This window comes from Homo sapiens, chromosome 6 (genome assembly GCF_000001405.40).
Source record: "Homo sapiens chromosome 6, GRCh38.p14 Primary Assembly".
NCBI classification, from domain to species: domain Eukaryota; kingdom Metazoa; phylum Chordata; class Mammalia; order Primates; family Hominidae; genus Homo; species Homo sapiens.
Window position 1 is genome coordinate 136,064,719 of NC_000006.12, and position 19,449 is coordinate 136,084,167.

The 19,449-nt window shown below is 39.0% G+C and overlaps 1 protein-coding gene and 1 long non-coding RNA gene across 2 annotated transcripts in view, besides 1 other annotated feature; one reads left to right on the forward strand and one right to left on the reverse strand.

Moving 5' to 3' along the window:
- The window catches only part of PDE7B-AS1 (PDE7B antisense RNA 1), a 28,976-nt gene extending 20,867 nt beyond the window's left edge, over positions 1 to 8,109 (reverse strand). The window contains exons 1-3 of the long non-coding RNA NR_149042.1: positions 7,831 to 8,109; positions 6,477 to 6,577; positions 5,506 to 5,613 (exon numbers count right to left, since the gene is read on the reverse strand). This is a non-coding gene — a long non-coding RNA (PDE7B antisense RNA 1). The remainder of the gene's footprint in view (positions 1 to 5,505; positions 5,614 to 6,476; positions 6,578 to 7,830) is intronic.
- PDE7B (phosphodiesterase 7B) overlaps positions 1 to 19,449 on the forward strand; it is a 343,874-nt gene that overhangs the window by 213,018 nt on the left and 111,407 nt on the right. The window lies entirely within an intron of this gene.
- Positions 2,941 to 3,485: an enhancer, noted in NCBI's record as "OCT4-NANOG-H3K27ac hESC enhancer chr6:136388797-136389341 (GRCh37/hg19 assembly coordinates)". NCBI's record gives its function as "activates a minimal SCP1, AML or CMV promoter by ChIP-STARR-seq in naive H9 embryonic stem cells {active_cell/tissue: H9 hESC(naive)}" and the evidence as "EXISTENCE:reporter gene assay evidence [ECO:0000049][PMID:30033119]".

The following is a 19,449-nucleotide window of genomic DNA, read 5'->3' on the forward strand; positions in this document are numbered from 1 at the left end:
GTTTTCGTTGTCTTTAGCTTAATTGTCACTCTTTCTGGAGGGCCTTTCCTGATGTCCCGATTAGGAAGTTAGGCACCTACCCTTCATTCTCCTTCATGACATTCATAATTATGTTTCATTTCTGCCTTCCTCTCAAAACACTGTAAGCCCCCCAAGAGCAGAAACAGTATTTGTTACTGCTCTATGCCTGGCACTTGATAGAGATGCTCAATAAATATTCATTGTGAATGAATGAATAAACAAATGCAAGTAACAGAGTCCAACAATTTGTAGGTTTACGAGGGTGGCATTTGTCTATGTGTGCAAATGCATTTATATCTAATCATTGCCAGAGCACAATTTCATATATGCCTAAAAGTCAAGGAAGAGACATCTACTTGAACCTCTCTGGGACTAGCAGGACTTGACAGCAGCTACCTGGAAACAAAATACTACAGCTCGTATTTCTCAGTTTGCTTGTAGGGTTTTCTCAGTTTGCTTTGAAGATGCCATAAAATTATGTTATTAACCATTTCTCCTATACAATTATTTACAAATCAGCTTATCAAATTAGACGTTTGCTTCACAAAACCACCTTTGAGGCTAAATCACAGGGCTAGAATAATATAAAAAAACTGAAATTGTCATCTTTTTTCCTCATCTGAGAAGTCATACTAATGATTATGAGTGTCTTGCTAATTTAAAAAGAGACTTTGGGCTTGATTTGGCTATTTCATAAACTTCTATTGTAGTTAATGGTATACTCTGTAGCCAGGGAGTGAGAAGGCATCACAAAGCATCTAATTGAATCCCAGGGTGCCAGGAATATTGCTGCTTTAACTTCAATTTCAGAAGCATTGTAGGATTCTGCTTAAAATCGGCTCACCCCTTCCATATACCCTGAAGCCATACATGTTGCTTTCCAAAAAAACCAAACCAAACCCAACAGCAAACAAGAAATTCAGGGTATACAACCGTATATCAATTAATATTAAATTATAGAGTTCAGTGTCTCAGATTCTATTACATGGTGATCATGTAACGTTTTCATCTAAATAGTTTAGTTTATTCTGGATTTTTCAAAGTCTGATTAGGCATAAATTTCAGAAAGATCAGATTTCTAGAATAGCAGCTATTATGGAACAGTTAATATTTCAGATTTTAACCACTAAGATATGCTCTTTATTTTTTATCAGTTCTTAGTAACAATGTGAAAATAGTATTTCCCCCTGTGATCTTCAGAGTTCTAACTGGTGGTTTACAACAAGGTCACCAATTTTACACACCACTGCCAATGGCTTCCTCAAAGTTCACAATCCAGTGATTTCCATAAAGGCTTTTTTTGTTTGTTTGTTTTAAGTTTTATCCAGGCATGTCTATATGTGGCTCTTTCCTTATTTTTAGCCAGTCTGACTTAATAGCAGTTCAGAAGGAAAGACTCTTCTACCTGCGAGGCAATACAGCAATTCCTGTTTCCATTGCACAACAGCACAAAGGCCTTGCCCATAATATTATACTTAATGCTGGGAAATGTGACTGACTCCCCCAGGATGACTCAATAACCCTTAGAGCAGATGTGCACCTTGGATTCCATGTTTGCTGTTTGGGTTTGGTTTGGTCCTTTTAGAAGGCAAGATGCATGGTCTCAGAGTAGATAGGAGAGGTGGGATGACTCCGAACCAAATACTGAACAGAAATGAAACGTTATTGATGCTCCTTTACAAAGCCATCATTTTCTTATTATAGCACCCACAAATATGAGAGATTCAAAGCCCTTAGAGAACATGAATGTGGCACTTTGGATCTTTGAATAAGTTAATGAAATAGGCATAGCCTGGGCAACTGCAAAAGAATAGATGTTCAGCCCTTTCGCTATGCAGGTGCAAACCAGTTATGAAAACAGATATTTAAAGTTTTTACTAAAAATCCTTTTTAGGATTTTTAAAAAACCTTCAGGTATGCAATATATCCTGTTACACAAAGTCTCATGATAAATACTCTTTAAAAAGAAAAAAAGTTGAATATCACTTAGCAACCGAAGAACAAAAGCAGAAGAAATGGAGAGACAGAGCACAAAGCTGAAGCTAGGGAAATATGAATACTGGTTACATCCTTATCAATGACTCCCTGAGTATTCCTTTGGATAACCATAACCTTTTTTTTTTTTTTTTTGAAATGAGGCCTCACTGTGTCACCCAGGCTGGAGCACAGTGGCACAATAGATGGTAGCTCACTGCAGCCTAGAACTCCTGGCCGCAAGTGATCCTCCCATCTCAGCCTCCCAAGTAGATGGAACCACAGGTGTATGCGACCACACCCAGCTAATTTAATATTTTTTATAGAGATAGGGTCTTGCTATGTTGCCCAGGTCTCAAATTCCTTACTTCAAGCAATCCTCCCACCTCAGCTTCCCAAAATGCTGGAATTACAGGTGTGAGCCATTGCACCCAACACAACAACCATGTTTTTTCTCTGTAGGAATTCCTCCACACATTGGGAATGTATCTTTCTCCTTCATTCACAGAAATGTTCTAGATAATAAGATGAGGCATGCATGTAAAATTTTCAGCTTAAAGCATCTTCAAAGGAACAATTTACCCATTTTTCTCCAAACCAAATAATCCCAATTCTAAGTGAGACTTTATTGAATTTATTTCTGTTTCTCAGCCCTAATCATCTGCCTTTGCTGATTTCCATTGCCCACTTTCAAATCCCTACTAGACTTTATGAAGACCTGTATACCCAAAGCCCAGTGTAAATATTTTTAATTGAAATGAAGGCATGAAATGTGTTAGAATTTAACATAAAACCTAAAACTACATAGGACATTCTAATTAAGACTTGACTAGCAATATCTAGGGACTTCTATGCCGGAAGCATAACTAGAATTAAAGTGTTTGACTTCTTCTTTTTAACTTTTTTGGTTTGCTTTGGTTTTGTATTCTATTTCAACTATTCTAAGTGTGATTTTTGACCAGCATTTAATGTTGATATAGATGTGGCTTCACATCTAAGCAAGGAAGGTGTTTTTCAAGTGCTGGAAGTGAGCTGCCAGTATTTCCCACACATCAGGCCTTGTTTTTTCAACACCTTGTGGATCGCTAATTGGAGTTTGCATAATCTACCGCCAAATTGCAAGCATTCCTTTGAGATGAGTGGAACACACACTTCCCTTCCAGAATCAATGAAAAGAGAAGGTCAGGAAGAGGAAAAGCAGCAAACAATGATCTAATTAATTTAGAAGAAACTGAATTTCTGGTTCTTGATTTCCTTCAGAAGAAAAAAATGAAATGCCACCTGAAAGGAATGTTTGTGATTCATGTTTTAATCCCCCAAACAGTTCAATTGTTAGCTGCTGTCGACGAAAAAGAGTTAAGACTCTGTAAAATATTTGAAGAGAGTTAGTCCGAGCCAAATATGAGTGACCAACGGCCCGTGACACAGGCCCAGGAGGGCCTGAGAACATGTGCCCAAGGTGGTCAGGCTACAGCTTGGTTTTGAGCATTTTAACATAAGACATCCAACAGTACATGAAAGATGTACATTGGTTCTGTCCGGAAAGGCAAGACAACTAGGAGAGTTGGGGCTGGGAGTGGGGGCGGCGTGCCAGGTCATTAGTGGATTCAAAGATTTTCTGATAGGCAATTGGTTGAAAAATCTAAAGACCTGGAATCAATAGAAGGGAGTGCCTGGGTTAAGAGAAGGGGTTGTGGAGACCAAGATTCCTTTTTTTTTTTTTTTTTTTTTTTTTGAGACGGAGTCTCGCTCTGTCTCCCAGGCTGGAGTGCAGTGGCGCGATCTCGGCTGACTGCAAGCTCCGCCTCCCGGGTTCACACCATTCTCCTGCCTCAGCCTCAAGAGTAGCTGGGACTACAGGCGCCCGCCACCACGCCCGGCTAATTTTTTTGTGTTTTTAGTAGAGACGGGGTTTCACTGTGTTAGCCAGAATGGTCTCAATCTCTTGACCTTGTGATCCACCCGCCTCGGCCTCCCAAAGTGCTGGGATTACAGGCGTGAGCCACCGTGCCCGGCCTTCAAGATTCTTATTACACAGATGAAGCCTCTGGGTAGCAGGCTTCAGAGAGAATCGATTGTAAATGTTTCTTAATCACACTTTAAAAGGTGCCAGACTCTTTAGTTGATTCTCTCCTGGATCAGAAAAAATACATAGAATGGGTCAAATATATGTCAAAGCAATCTGTTTTGGGGTAAAATACTTCGATTTCTTTCAGGGCCTGCTATCTCATGTTAGTATCTTATTGCGACAAAGCATCTGTTTTGTCAGTCTTAAGGTCTCTGTTTTAATGTCAGTGCTGGTCACCTGTGCCTGAATTCCTAAGGGAGGAAGGTATAATGAGGCATGTCCAACCACCCCTTCCCCTCATAGCCTGAACTAGTGTTTCAGGTTTACGTTAGAATGCCCTTGGCCCAGAGGAGGGATCAATTCAGTTGGTTGGGGGGCTTAGAATTTTATTTAGGGTTTACACTGCCCATAGCAAAGGAGAAAGAAATAATTTTGAAATAACTTTAAAATGTGCTTTTGCTTTAAAGGCTGAGGAGCTGGAAGCAGTAAGCAAGCGGGGACAAATCATGAGGAGAAAACACTCTCAGCATGCAGTGAATCATCTTTAAACCATTCACAAGCACGTGCATAAGTAAATATGTACATGTGAGGCTACACTGATCAAATCCATGGAGGAATTAGAAAATAATCAGTAGTGAATGCATCCTCCATCAACAAGTCCTAATGGTTTCCCCTTCAATTCAGTCCTTGAAATTGTACAGTTCAAAACTGTCTCAGAAAAGCAAGGCTAATATTCTTTAAAAAGCATTTGATTATATAAATGTGCAGAGTTTTTAAGGCATTCAAGAATACAGTTATTGCCTATTTTAAATTTTTGAAATTAATATCTAGCCAATTAAAACAAACTAGGTCTTTTAAATGAGTCATTTTCAGCTTTTTTAAACACTTAGTTCTATAATATACAGTTATAAAGTGTGAAAAATTATCTTCAATTTTTGTTTGTTTTAAATTACTGTTAAAATCACAATATCTTCATCAGAAAATAGAGCAGAGATGAATTGCCTTGGTAAAAATATCACAAAAATTAATGTTAAAAAATTCAGAATGGTAAATGAAGTGCTTAAAGAATCAGTTTAAAAGATGGCAAATCTCTTTTTCTGTCTATTGATCAATGAAACTATCTCTAATCCGAGTCATCATTAAAGTGTTATGCAAACAGAAATCTGAATTCAAATGAGCACAAAAGACCCCAAAACTTTAAGTATATTAAACTGATAAATATCAAAAAATTAGAAATTCCCCCAAGAGTCAACTCTTTCTCAGCATACATATTAAGTTGCAGGGAACTGATCAGTTGAATAGCTCAACTCAACTATATTCAACTGTATTCAGCTGCACTGTATCTTAAAGTATGAAAGCCTATATAAAAAAAAAAAAACAGAAGATTTAAAATGAATTTTAAGAAACAGCTACTTAAACTCAAAACCAGTTGATAAACATACCTTTTGATGCAACAACAGGAACAGTGTAATTAAAAGTGGATTAAGTCCTTGAATTCCAATTGAACAGGAGAGGAAATCCAATATATTTGAATTCTTTTGGGTTAGAATCTGTCAATGATATTAAGGCAAATTATTTATAATTTCACAATGATATCCAGTTAGAATATTTATTAATCTTTATAAATACCCATCCAATTTGCTTTCAGGCCTATATTTTTCACATTTTATATGACTATAATATGTCATTCTCAAATAATATTAGCATAATCAAGTCTCATGAATAACAATATTGTTGAAAAAATATTAAGTGTTCTCTAATCTGCTTTTTTTATTTTAAAAGGTTAGTTAATGGCATTGATCCAGATAGAATAGCATTTTAGTCCTTCTTTCATGATTTAATTCATTTAATTTAAAAAACATTGAAAATTTTTTAATACGTTAAGATACTAGAAAACACACTCTCATTTAGAATGGCATTCTTTAAATGTATTGTTAATAATTTGCAACATATTGACTTTTTTATTATGACCAAACTAAAATACCATAATAGATTGATTTTCTTACGTGATAATAACAGCAAAGATTTGAATCAAAAAAATCTAAAGTCAGTATAAAACAAACTACTTGGGCTTACGTAGGAACCAAACCCAAACTCTTGTCCAAATGAACAATTGAAATTCCTGTTGAGGTTTTGAAAAATCTCCACCACCCCATCAAGTGCCCTACTTTTCATGCAGCTCAACACTTCCAAACAGAGCCAGCATGAGGAGCCCTGAGATCCCTGTGGTCGGCCCTTTCCCAAGTATTCCAAACCCACGCCTGGACCAAGAAGCTCCAGGAATCTCATCAGAAGCCTTGACTCCAGGAGGTTTCGAGTTAGATTTCCAAACCAGAGAGGTTTGGAAAAGAGCATGTTGAACCTTCGACCCACTCTTGACTTGCCCATCTGTATTTCAGTTACAGGCACTCACCTAAGAGTACTGACTTCTCTCATGACAGCTGCATAGTTAATGTGCCATTTCCACTGTAAGAAACTTGGCTGGGGCCAGTCAAGATGGTTCAGTTTAACAACCTAATAAATATATTGAAAATAACCAGTGAAAACAAAATTACAGAGACTGCCTTGTAGCTCAGCTGCCATCGTCTCTGTAGCCAACCTCAGCCTTCACCTCAGCATTGCACAAAGTTCAGAATCACTAACATATCAGAAAGGTTGGACAAGAGGAAAAGTAAACTGGAAACACACACACACGTGTGTATACATAAGTTTAATTCTGAAGTATTGAGAATTTTATTTTCAAAGTGCTAGAAAGGCAACAGAGAGATAGTTCATTTCACCATTACAGAAACACCAAGAAATTATAAACTTCTCTGGATGTCAGTTTTCTTACTGGAAAAATTATGTTAAAATTATATCACTCTAGCCAAGTGTAGTGGTGCATGCCTGTAGTCCCAGCTACTAGGGAGGCTAAGGTGGGAGGATCGCTTGAGGCCAAAAGTTCGAGGCTTCACTGAGCTATGATCACACCACTGCACTCCAGCCTGGGCAACTGAGCAAGATTCCACTCAATAAATTAATAAATGAGTGCAGCATTCTAATGTTTTAAGGATTAAATGACATGATCATATAACAATGCCTAACAAGGTACACAGTGCAGTAACAAGTAAATGTATTTTAGCTTTTTTCCTTGGTTTCCATTAACATTTTTTTCCTTCAGTTAGTCATTCTAAAAATATTTATTAAGCATCTATTATGTTTTAAGAATTAAATGAGGTGACCCTACAACAGTGCCTTAAAAGGTACACAGCACAAAAACTAAATATATTTTAGCTTCTTCCCTCAGTCCCCTTTAACATTTTTTTCATTCAGTCAGTCATTCTACAAATATTTATTGAGCATTTATTATGTAGCAGGCATCATAATTTGTCTTGAATATATAATGGCAAATACAATAAACACAGTTCCTGCCCTTAATGGGGAAAACAGAAAATAAATAGGCGGGGAGGCGAGGAGAGAGAAAGACAAATCGAAATTGTCCTAAGTTCTGTGAAGGACCTAAACAGGGTACAGGGAGAGGAAATGGTGGGAGAGGGGCACCTGGTTAGATAGCTCATGGCATAGCTGATACTTTAATTTTGTTTTTTAAGTAGAGATGAGTTCTTGCTGTGTTGCCCAGGCTGCTCTTGAACTCCTGGGCTCAAGCGATCCTCCTGCCCTGGCCTACTAAAGTGCTGGGATTCTGGGTGTAAGCCACCTTGCCCAGCCCTGTTTATTTTTCTATTGATCTTAAGAAAGAAAAAGATGTCTTCTAATAACTATTTTACCTTAATCAGTTTTAAGACAAGCTTTGCAGAGCTCCATGACCCTCTGAAGAGACCGTGGCCACCTTGTAGGTTAGAGTATTTCGGACAGATGGCTGTACTACTGAGAGCTTTTCTGGACATGGCCGTTCTGGCTAACTTTCATCTTGTCATTACATTTCCTTTTCTGAGAAAGGTTGCAAGGGTGGTTTTGACAGAGTGATGCTGTTGGTATTTAGAATCCTGACTTTCTTGATCCTTTTCGGTGGAGCTGCGGGACACATGTGCGATGGAAACTGGCCTGGTTGCCATGGTGGATAGTGTTCTGACAACAGTCACATGGGTCAGGTGTCCGTTTTGGATCTTTCAGGCCTGTCAGCAGCTCCTGATAAAGCTAGCCATGTGGTTTTTCTTGGCTCACCTGTATATCCTGGTAGGAACAGCTAAGAGCCACTCAACGCACCCTTCTCTTTTTGGAGAAACCCCAGGGAGTTGTGTTGCTTGGGGCTGGGCCGCTTGGAGACCATGTTCTTTGTCTTTTTGGCCTGCTCTCGGGGCTAAGGAGCATTGATGGAATATCTGAGATGGTGGCGTCGGCAGGGATGGCCATGCTGAAGTCTGTTCATATCACACAACTAGGGCCACAAGCAAAGTCCTCCATCTGAATGACATTCAGGGACAGTCCATAAACTCAACGTGTGCACAGAGTGCCTCCGTACGCCATGCATTGTGACAGGTCCTGGGGTAACAGATCTGAAAGACTCCTTCTTTGTGTGTAAAGAACATGATTGGGTTAATTAAGTAAAAGTGAATATTTTCTTTACTGAGTCATAAAATTACGGGCATATGTCTTAATCAGCTAAGGCTGTCATAACACAGCACCATAAACTCAATGGCTTAAACAACAGAAACTGATTTTCTCACAGTCTTACAGGCTGAAAGTCCAGGATCAAGGCATCTGTGGAGTTGGTTTCTTCTGAGGCCTCTCCCCTCGGCTTGTAGATGTCACTTCTATGGTCTTCCCTCTGGGCCTGTGTCCTAATTTTCTCTTCATACAAGTGCACTAGTCATAATGGATTAGGGCCTACTCCAGTGGCCTCATCTAACTTAACTGCCTTTTAAAAGACCCCATCTCCATATAGGTCACATTCTGAGGTGCTTGGGTTAGGATTTTAACATACGAATTTGGCAGGGGACACACTCTAGCCCATAACAGCATTTTTACAGCCACACATAGTAAAAATCTGGAAATACACCACCACATGTATCAGAGTATAAGTGGCAAAGGTTGATCATGATACGTATCTCTCAGTTGAGAATTTCAGCGTGATTTCTAAAAACTTGTTGTGAAAGTACAATGCGCAGAAAACTGAAATTTCACCAAAAGTCCCATATCTGAAGCAAATAAAAAAATTTAGTTCCCATATTCTTTCCAATAGAAATAATTCCTTCGTGGAGAATTTATGCCTATCTCGTTCCTATGACAAAAAGGAATTTGGCCAGCCTGGCCAACATGGTGAAACCCTGTCTGTACTAAAAATACAAAAAAATGAACTGGGCACGGTGGCACACACCTGTAATCCCAGCTACTTGGGTAAAAGAATTACCTGAGGTAAAAGAATCATTTGAACCCAGGAGGTGGATGTTGCAGTGAGCCAAGATCGCACCACTGCACTCTATCCTGGGTGACAGAGAGACCTTGTCTCAAAAAAAAAAAAAGGCGGGGGGGATTTGGGGTTTTTTTGTTGTTTAAGGGTTTTTTAATTTTTAATTTTTGTGGGCACATAGTAAGGGTATATATTTATGGGTACATGAGATATTTTGATACAGGCATACAATGCATCATAATCGCATCAAGGTAAATGGGATATCTATCACATCAAGCATTTATTTCTTTCTTTGTGTTACAAGCAATCCAATTATACTTTTTAAGTTATTTTTAAATGTGTGATAAATTTTGTTGACTGAAGTCACCCTATTGTGCTATCAAATACTAGATCTTATTCACTCTATCTAATTATATTTTTGTACCAATTAACCATTCCTCCTTCCCACTACACTTCCCAGCATTTGGTAACCATCATTCTACTCCCTATCTCCATGAGCTCAATTGCTTCATTTTTAGCACTGACAAATAGGTGAGAATATATAAAGTTGATCTTTCTGTGCCTAGCTTACTTCATTTAATCTAACGACCTCCGAGTGAATCCATATTGTTGCAAATGACTGGATCTCATTCTTTTTTATGGCTGAATAGTACTCCATTGTGTATGTGTCCCACATTTTCTTTATCCATTCATCTGCTGGTGAACTCTTAAGTTGCTTCCGTATCTTGGCTGTTGTGAATAGTGCTGCTGTGCACATGGGAGTGCAGGGAGCTTTTCAATATACTGATTTCTTTTCTTCTGAATATATACCTAGAAGTGAAATTTCTGCATCATATGGTACAAAAAATAATTTAAGGGAATCTGGATTTCTTTTCTCTATGCAAGATCATTCAATTGTTTCCTCTAGTAAGGAAAAACTTCTGAAACAAATTCACAAAATTAATCAAGATTTTTGTTAATGAATAAAGTGTTCTCAAGCCACCGTCTCAGTCTGTCTTTCTGGGTGCTTTACCTACTGTCTTCTCTTGGGTGCTTTCCTTCTGACATAGCAAGAGCATATTTCAGACAATTGTAGACTCAAATATTTCAAAGCATTAAAGGAAAAAGGGGCATCTGAAAATTATCTTGATGTTCTCTGACAGCTCTAATACTATATAAATTATTACTAATGTACTAAGATTTCAAAGTGCTAGGCAAAGCGTCCCCAACCCACTGCAGATTCTCACAAAAAGGAAAACATGCTGAACTGTATTCCTTGGAGCTGTTGATGACTTCTCTTTGTACGTAATGAATGAGATGTTGTAGAAATAGCACAATCGCTGGAACACACTCAGGAATATGATGCTCCTCAGTCTCCCACACTTGATACCAAGGATCCTAGCTGTCCCATTGTCTACCTCAGCTGTAGGGGGTTTGTGTGCTCTAATTTGCCCTGGCACTGCTTTATCATTTAAAAACTTAGTTCTGGGTGAAGTGTGGTTGCATATTGCAATTCAGAGTGCCTTCAATGCATACTGTTTCATGGCCATCTCTTCTCCCTTGTTTCCCCTTCCCTTTTATTCTTTCCTTCTTCTTGGAGTCCCTCTTATTTGAGTGATCCCTGAAAAGGGTACTCACTGCTAAGAAGAACGACCTGGGTTACATAACAAGTCCTTACAGAACAATGCCTCAAGAGGAGGTACGGCTAGTCAAGGCACAGAAAGCAAAATCTAGCCCTAACGACATTACTCCTTTACCTAGGATCTTGATTATGTATCTCATTTTCTGTGACTTGACTTCTACATCTTTGCAGGGATGACATGTTTTGTCTCCATTTTTTATACGGCAGATAAATGTGGTAGGTTGAATATACCTGCTTACCCCAAAGCCTTTGATAGAATAACAGTAAAAAATGAATGAACTCACAAGAATAAAGAGTGGAAAAGGAAACGTCAATCAGCCAGAGGTACAATGGGAGGATGGAAAGTGGATAGATGTATAGTGACTGAGTTATATTTACTTCTTGGTACCACTAAGTGCCTGCAGAAGAGAGAAGCCTAACCAAAATAAACTGATGCAGCCGGGCATGGTGGCTCATGCCTGTAATCCCAGCACTTTGGGAGGCCAATGCAGGTGGATCACTTGAGAGGTCAGGAGTTCGAGACCAGCCTGGCCAACTTGGTGAAACCCCGTCTCTACTAAAAATACAAAAATTAGCCAAGCATCATGGCAGTTGTCTGTAATCCCAGCTACTTGGGAGGCTGAGGCAGGAGAATTGCTTGAACCCAGGAGGCGGAGGTTGCAGTGAGCCAAGATTGCGCCATTACACTCTAGGCTGGGCAACAGAGCAAAACTCTGTCTCAAAAAAATAAAAATAAGCTAATGTGTGCCCCCAAAACTTAGAAAGCCTCAGGAATTGAAGGCAGCAAGGAAATGTAAAGACAGGAAACAAGAGAACTGGGAGAATGCTCAAAATAAAAGAATTGGTTCGAAGTCTTTATGAGTTGCAGTTAGACGCCCAGATCTCTTCCCCCACCCCACACATCCAATCAGATAGTCCCTTTCACCCTGGCAGAAGACTAAGATGTATTCTCTGAGGAGGCTGAGTCAGGGAGCTTCTGAACTTAATAATGCACTCCATAATGTTGAAAGTATGCTATTCTGGACAATGGCAATGGGAACACCTGGGGAAGGAATGATGCACTATTCTAAGGTCATGGGAATGAAGGCAAAGATGTGTACTAAACGACAGCACCTAAAGCCTTTCTCCATGGAAAGTGGTCACCCAGGGAAAAAAACTAAGGTTATTGACATTTGTTCAGGGGTCCCTGAACAAAATGTCTCTCTCGACCCCTGACAATAAGTGAAGGTAAGAATACACCATATGCGGGTATGCAAGATGTCAATTTCTTTCTTCTTATGTACCCTGTGCCAGGGAGCCTGGAGGATGTGTTCCACCAAAATCAGGATATAAACAGAGAAGTGGGAGGTGGGGGTGGGAAGAGAGGGAGGGATAGGAAGAGAGAGCATCTAGCACAGGAGAGAAGAAAAGAGAAGGACCAGGAGGACAATGACAAATAGCTATAGGAAGTAGACCTATAAGCAGAATAGTCCTGAGAAGAAAAATCTCCGATCCACTGTGCTTGACAATATTATTGTATTTTACCATTATTTCAAACACACAGAAGAGTGAGCAAGCTAAAAACATAAAGATGTGTGGTTTTTTTCAATAAATAAAGAAAATGTAAACATAGTATCCAAGGTGGCTTAGCTGTGAATTATGAAGACTATAATAATGAATGTGATTTAACCCTAAATTGGAATGATTGGGAAGTTGTGGGTGTAGGGAAAGGTGGTGAAAAAAGGGAAATGTTTTGGATCATTGTAAGCCTTAGAGTGTTAGTTGGCTTTTTAAACTATGTACAGTATTACTTAGATAAAAACTAAAATTAAATTTCAAATATAAGGTTAATTAACCCATGTGAAGCACATACTTCAGCATGTATTTTAAAATGCAAAGGTATTCTTAATGAATATTAATCTTAAAGGCTTCAAGGTCTTCCAAAAGGCAGAATTTTACAAATGTAAATTTTTAAAATTATTATGGTATTGTATAATATTCCTGCACTAATATGTGTTAAAAGGGTTCTATCAACCCTGGATTTTAATTTTTCAAATGTATGACATAGTTTCTTTTGTTGTTTATGGAAAAGCTGAGCAACTTGGTAACGAATGTGAATATGTTTGGAAGCCCAATCCAGCTCATGTAGATGCATATTTGTTTCCATGATCATTTGAAATTCTATGGAGTCACCACTGCTGATTCAAACCTGGCCAGGCTTCCTGATTCTAATCTCATCCCAGGGTGAATTGAGGTTAGCTGCTGGAGGGAATGTTCAGTTCAGTTGAATGTAAATCTAGCGCCAAGCCACATGTGAGCTGAGTGTGCCAGGATGCCAAGTGATAAATCGAGGAAAGAAAGATCACATGAGGCTGACATCTTAGCACTGACACATGGCCCTCTTCTGCAGAAATACTGGGCAAAGAGTTGTGAGTCAGCTACAAGGAAGATAGGGCTTTCCACTGAAAAAGGCAGTGTTCAAAGGACTCATTCGTCAGGAAAAAGAATTCCCATGTCAATGAGAGCTGAATGTGAGCTACACTCATCTTTGGATAGGTATTTGATGAATACTCGTATTCTTGGAGTGACTTTCCAACATTTAACTAAGACCATTCAGCCTTCACAACCCATTTGACTTAAAGGGCAAAAGTGCCTATCTGACAATTTTGATGATCAGACATTGCCTTCTTCCCCTTCTACTCCTGCTAGATCCATTCTAGTCTCTGTCTAGTTAATTCCTTTAAAAACCTCCATGTTAAAGTAGACTTCAATATCTAGCATACTAGTTCCAGAAAAATGATACCAAAAAGGTATATTAGATTGCACATGGTGGTGAAAATGTTTAAAAATCCTGAAAAAAAAAAAGGTATTATGTAAAAGAGACAAAAGAGAGGAAAAAAGCTCTTTGGATTTTTTGATTAGCAGAAGGTACACATCTTTATGTGCAAAAAACCTGCCGTCTCCTAAATATCCTTATTTGGGGTGGTGTAGGTCATAAGGGGTAGAATTTATATTTAGAAAGTACATATACATTTTAAACTTAATAATGTTGAAAGATATGCACTATACACTCATAAAATAGCCTTATAATTTAAAAAAATCTATATGCACTTATTACAAGTATTTTAAATAAACCAGAAAAGTCTAAATAAAAAGTAGCCCAAATTCTGTCACCCAGGGAAACTCTATTTTATTAATATCTTTCCAGACAGCTCTGTATGGCCACACATGCAATTTTATAATGGGATTATAAAATTGGGGTTATACCCCTCATACTGTTGTCCAACCTGGAGAATTATATACAGATGCTCCTCAATTTATGATGCCACTGCATTCCCAATAATCCATTCTAAGTTGAAATCTTCAACTTACAATGGGTTTATCTGGGTGTAAGCCCATTGTAAATTGAGGAGTGTATTGAATATATATCACTTTCACATCATCATAAAGTCAAAAAACTGTAAATCAAACCTTCCTAAGTCAGTGACCCCCTGTACCCTTAAACAATGAGATAAACTTCCATCAAGCATGGCAGTACTCTGGCTTTGTTCTCCGTTTGAAAAACCGTCACTTTATAGGCTTAATATATCTATTTTACACATTAAGACTGTACCTTCAAACTGTGTTGTTCCATACAGTAGCCCTAGTCATGTGTGGCTAAACTTGAATTAACAAAAATTGAATAAAATTTAAAATTCAGTTCCTGAGGTGCACTAATAACATTTCAATGGCTCCAGAGTAACATATGGCTGGTGGCTACTGTATTAGACAATACAGAATGGTTTCATCATCACAGAAAGTTCTGCTGGACAGTGCTGAGTTGGAACCAGGTGTTCTTTACACACAGACCACTTAAAGACTGAGGTTTTATTTATACACCTGAGTTTTCCAAGCACTTTTATCTTTGACTGTGGCCAACATTCTATAGGGCTAAATCCCAACTTTAGCAGCCGGAAGTCGCAACTGAAGAGACCAGCCATTTGGATTAGGAAGACAAAAAAAAAAAAAAAAAAAAGACTTTCCCACTGTTTCCAGTGACTTCTCAAAGGGTATGGCTTCCAGCTATTCTGGTGACCAGAATGACACTCCCCTTAACCCTGAGCTTCCTTGGGACATGACAGCTCTTGCTCACTGAGAATGAGTGTGAGAGTTTGAGGGTGGATCCTCCTTTGTAGATTGGGACCCATCCTACGTCAGCCTGGGAAAATCACTCCAAATATCAGAAAATAAATAAAACAAGGACAATTAAAGAGCAACAAGGTCTGGGAACTGGATCCAAACCAACCACCCACCTGCAGTTCCTCTAGATCTTACGCTATCACGAGGAGAGGGGAAAAAATAAATGAAGAAAAAAACCTCCATGTGTCCAGTGTTAAGCTCTCAAGCTGAGCAAATAAATAACCCTCTCCCCCTTTTGGGTTCCCTGTGTCTCTAGAGAACAGGATGCAAAATTAAATTCCAAGCTCGTTCCAATAATTTGAGAAGATAAACTTCCAATTTCTTAGAATTTATGTTCAATTTGAATAAGCACCTAAAGTTACAGGCTCTCCAAACTCACACAAGTCCCCTACCCCCAGCTTTAAATCCCTGGAGGCTGAAAGTTTGGCAATGAGAACAAACATTCTCACAATTTCTTATTCTTCCTTCTTCCACTTAAACTTTAACTTTCTCAACAATGCCCTTCAGAGGTTTCCTTTCAGCACGTCTTCCTCCAGTCCTAGGAGGAATGTGGAAATATGAGAAAAAGAAACTAACAGCATGAGAAGAGATTTTCAATTTCTGTGGGTCCCCAAAATGGTTCAGTCTGAAGTTCGTAGGAAGATGTGGAATCATTTCTCACTTGTTGTAAACTGTCATATCTCTGCTTATGAGCCATTTTTGTTCAGTAGATACCCATTCGACATGGAGATCTATCCACTCTCTATCCTAAGGGGCAGACTTTGGAAGAACTACTGGTTTTATTTTCAATTCGTTCATTTATTTGCTCAATAAACATTAATTGAGCAGCTGCTGTGTACTAGGGACAGAGCCAAGTGCTATGTTGACAAGCATTAATAAGAAATGGCTCCTGTCCTTAAGGAGCTCTAAGGAAAAAGAGAAGCAAGATATGGCGATGAATGCTAGGATGGAGAGCTGCATGGAGGAAGGGCACCCATTGCAAAAGGGGCGAGGGGAATGTGGTCTGGGAAAGCTTCCTTCAGGAGAAGATACTTGAACTGAGTCTTGAAACATAGCTCTAAATTAGCCACACAGTGAAGGTAGATAGAAATATCCCAGCATAATGTTTGTGGAGGGACAAACAAATCAATGAGGTTGGCACAGCATAGTGGCAAGAAATAAGGCTGGAGAATTGGACAGAGTCAGATGAGGAGAGGCCCTTTATTTCACCCTGAAGGTGATACAGTCATAGAAGGGTTTTTAACATGGAATGATGGGAGAGGGTCATCATTTCAGAGAGATTACTGCAGTATGATTTTGGGAGATGGACTGAAAGTGAACACACATGAGGAGAGAGAAACACCATTGTAGATGTGACAACAGTGCCTCGGGGAGAAACTAGGGGACTACTGAAGATCTAGAAAGGACCCAATGAGAGGAATCCAATAAATATTGAGGCAAAATTTTCAAGATCTGATGACCAAATGGATAAATAGAGGGAGACTACAGTGGCTTCTAAGGGCAATTGAGTGATTAAAACATAAACTAGTATTTTAAGATTTGTTTGTTGGGGGGATGGTGGTTATTAACAGAATATCTACTCTGGCCTCTGACATACACACAAACATTCCTAAGACAGGAAAAAGAGGACAAACTTTCCTATGAGCCTCACAACTGATTCTCATTATTCTAGAAAGCCTTGCCTCTCGCATTAGTGTTCTGTTTTCTAGACTTTGCTGACTCTTTCAAAACAAACAGATAGGCAAAGAAATCTAAGATATCATTCACTAGGTAAAATAATTTGAATTTTGGCATCAACCTAAATGAGACCCTTTCAGTTATTTAGTCAACAGTGTTTACTGGGATTTATTCTGTGCTGAGCACTGCAAATACAAGAAGAGATAGAACCCACATTCAAACTTCTTCATTAGTCCATATTCTTTGTACATTTATGTTTTTATTTGTTTGTTTGCTTACACCTGGTTATGATCATACATTTCAGCAGTGGTCCTCAAACTAGAGCGTAAATAGGAATAACTTGGAGAGGTGGTCAAACTACAGCTTCCTGAGCCCTGTCCCCAAAGTTCATGACTCACTGAGTCAGTCAGGGTAGGGCCCATGAATTTGCCTTTCTATTAGTGCAATTTCTAGTACTACTGGTGGGAGGCCCACACTCTGAGAAGCATTTATTTACGGCTTTGAGCGAGAGTAACTTTGTGAAGCAATGTAAGGTTGTTTCCTGTGGTCCTGACGCATCCGTAATGTGGAATTGATGTCAATGGGAATTACACAGGCCACAGAGGTGTCACACACAGGCCTTAGGTGCTCATGACCAACCTCTCACCATGGAGCTGTTGCCTCCTGTTTTTCAGTTGCCTCTCCCATTGGGCATTGCTGTCGCTGTTGCTCCATACGTTGCTGCAGTTACGGCACTTGAGGAGGTCAAACAGTCCCTGTTGGAGAGACTGGAGAAATGGGAGCAAACCTGTCTCTCTCTAAACTTCTGTTATTTTATCTGACCTTAAGAGTAAGATTAATAATCTGATCACCTAATCATCTGGAGAGGACAGCGAGATTTGCCAAATATTAACAGACATGGGAAAGGCTGTGATGTTCAGCTGAGGGCCAGTCATGCAGTTAGCCTGGACCACAAAAAAGATAAATGGGTAAGAACCTGCCTTGCAGTTGCATTGTGAGTGTAATAGCTTGCCAAATGCCTCGGCTATGAATGAGTTTTCTTGTATGGGTCTCTTCTAGGTAGAGCAAAGTCCCTTCTGTTTACTTACAACATTCAGGAGTGTTTCTGATATTTGCCTTTAGGTATATGCTTTTCAATCTCACATACAGGAAAATCATACCGGAAGTTATTGGGTAATTCAAGTATCAAATGAAGTGAGAGCAATGGGAGTGGAAAGAAGATACAAATTTCAAATTTAAAGAATGTTGGAAAACAAACAGTAAAAGACTTGTTTTCTACAACAGAGGGCGATGTGAGACGAGAAAAAAATAGTTGAAATTAACTCCCAGATGTCCACCTCTTTTGACCAGGAAAAGGATGGCATCAATTACATAAATATAAAGATTGAAGAGGAATTGGTTTAAAAGGTTGAATTCTGTTTTAGACATCCAGGTGACAGTGGGACAGCCAGGTAAAAGTATTTTGAAATATTTGGAAATCCAGGACTGGAGTCTGGGTGAGAAAGGTGGCTTGGAGGACAGTGTTAGAAGGCCCCTGCTTAGCTGTCACTTAGAATTGATAACTGAGGCCTATCAGTGATGAACTCACTGAGAGAGGGTCTGTGAGAGAACAGTCGGAAGACTGAGGGTGGAACCCTGATATTCCTTCCAGAAGGGTTCCAAATAAGTTCTTCTTGGATTTGATACCTTTGTGCATTCTCAGTTCACTGTTTCAGTTAAAATATAGGTGGTATTCCTGGAACATAGTATGGGGCTGCCTTTGGAGACCTCCTCAAGTACCTGAGCATGTGCGCATGACTACTTGCATCTATGCCCACCTGTATAGAAAAAAAATGGCTTTTCTACTCATTTTAGAGGGTGAATTGGGGCATTTTCAATTCTCTCAGAAAGACGTAACAGAAGTGTCTGAAATGGCATGCTAACTACCCTTAAAATGTCTGTAGCTTTTCTCTTTTCCATATTATTCATGCCATGTGATACTGACCTGGGGATACTTCCCAGCCACATTTGAAAGCCTCCCCTGAAGTTGCAAACCCAATGGTTTGGAAAAGATATTTTGAATAACTTAAAATATACAGTGTAAACAAACTGGCCTTTTAGTATGAAGTGTACTAAATTAAAGAAACCAGATGCTTTGGTTGGCTTGGAACAGCTGAATTATGATTGGCTCTCCTTCACTAACCATTTTCTTTGGGGCCTCCTCTCTCTGCTCCTTCTTCCCCTCTCTCTCTCTCCTCCCACATTGATATTTTTCTTTTTTTTCAGAAAGCCATAAGCTCATCAGATACAAGAGACATAGCTCCCTAATATCAGCAACAAATGATTTCTGAAATTAGCATTGTTGTAAATTTAAATTGTTTGCCTGTACTCACTGAAATTTGCTTATAAAGACTTGATGTAAGAGTGAGTCATCCTTCAATTAAAGTTCTACATGCAAAGGACTTTTCTATGTAACAATTTTGACTTCAAAATTAAATATTCCTCTTTCAACTAACTACCAACTGGGACATTGTGTAAGGTCTATAGGAAATCATTTCGATCATTTCAATCCCTAACTCTCCAAATTATTTATCCATATGA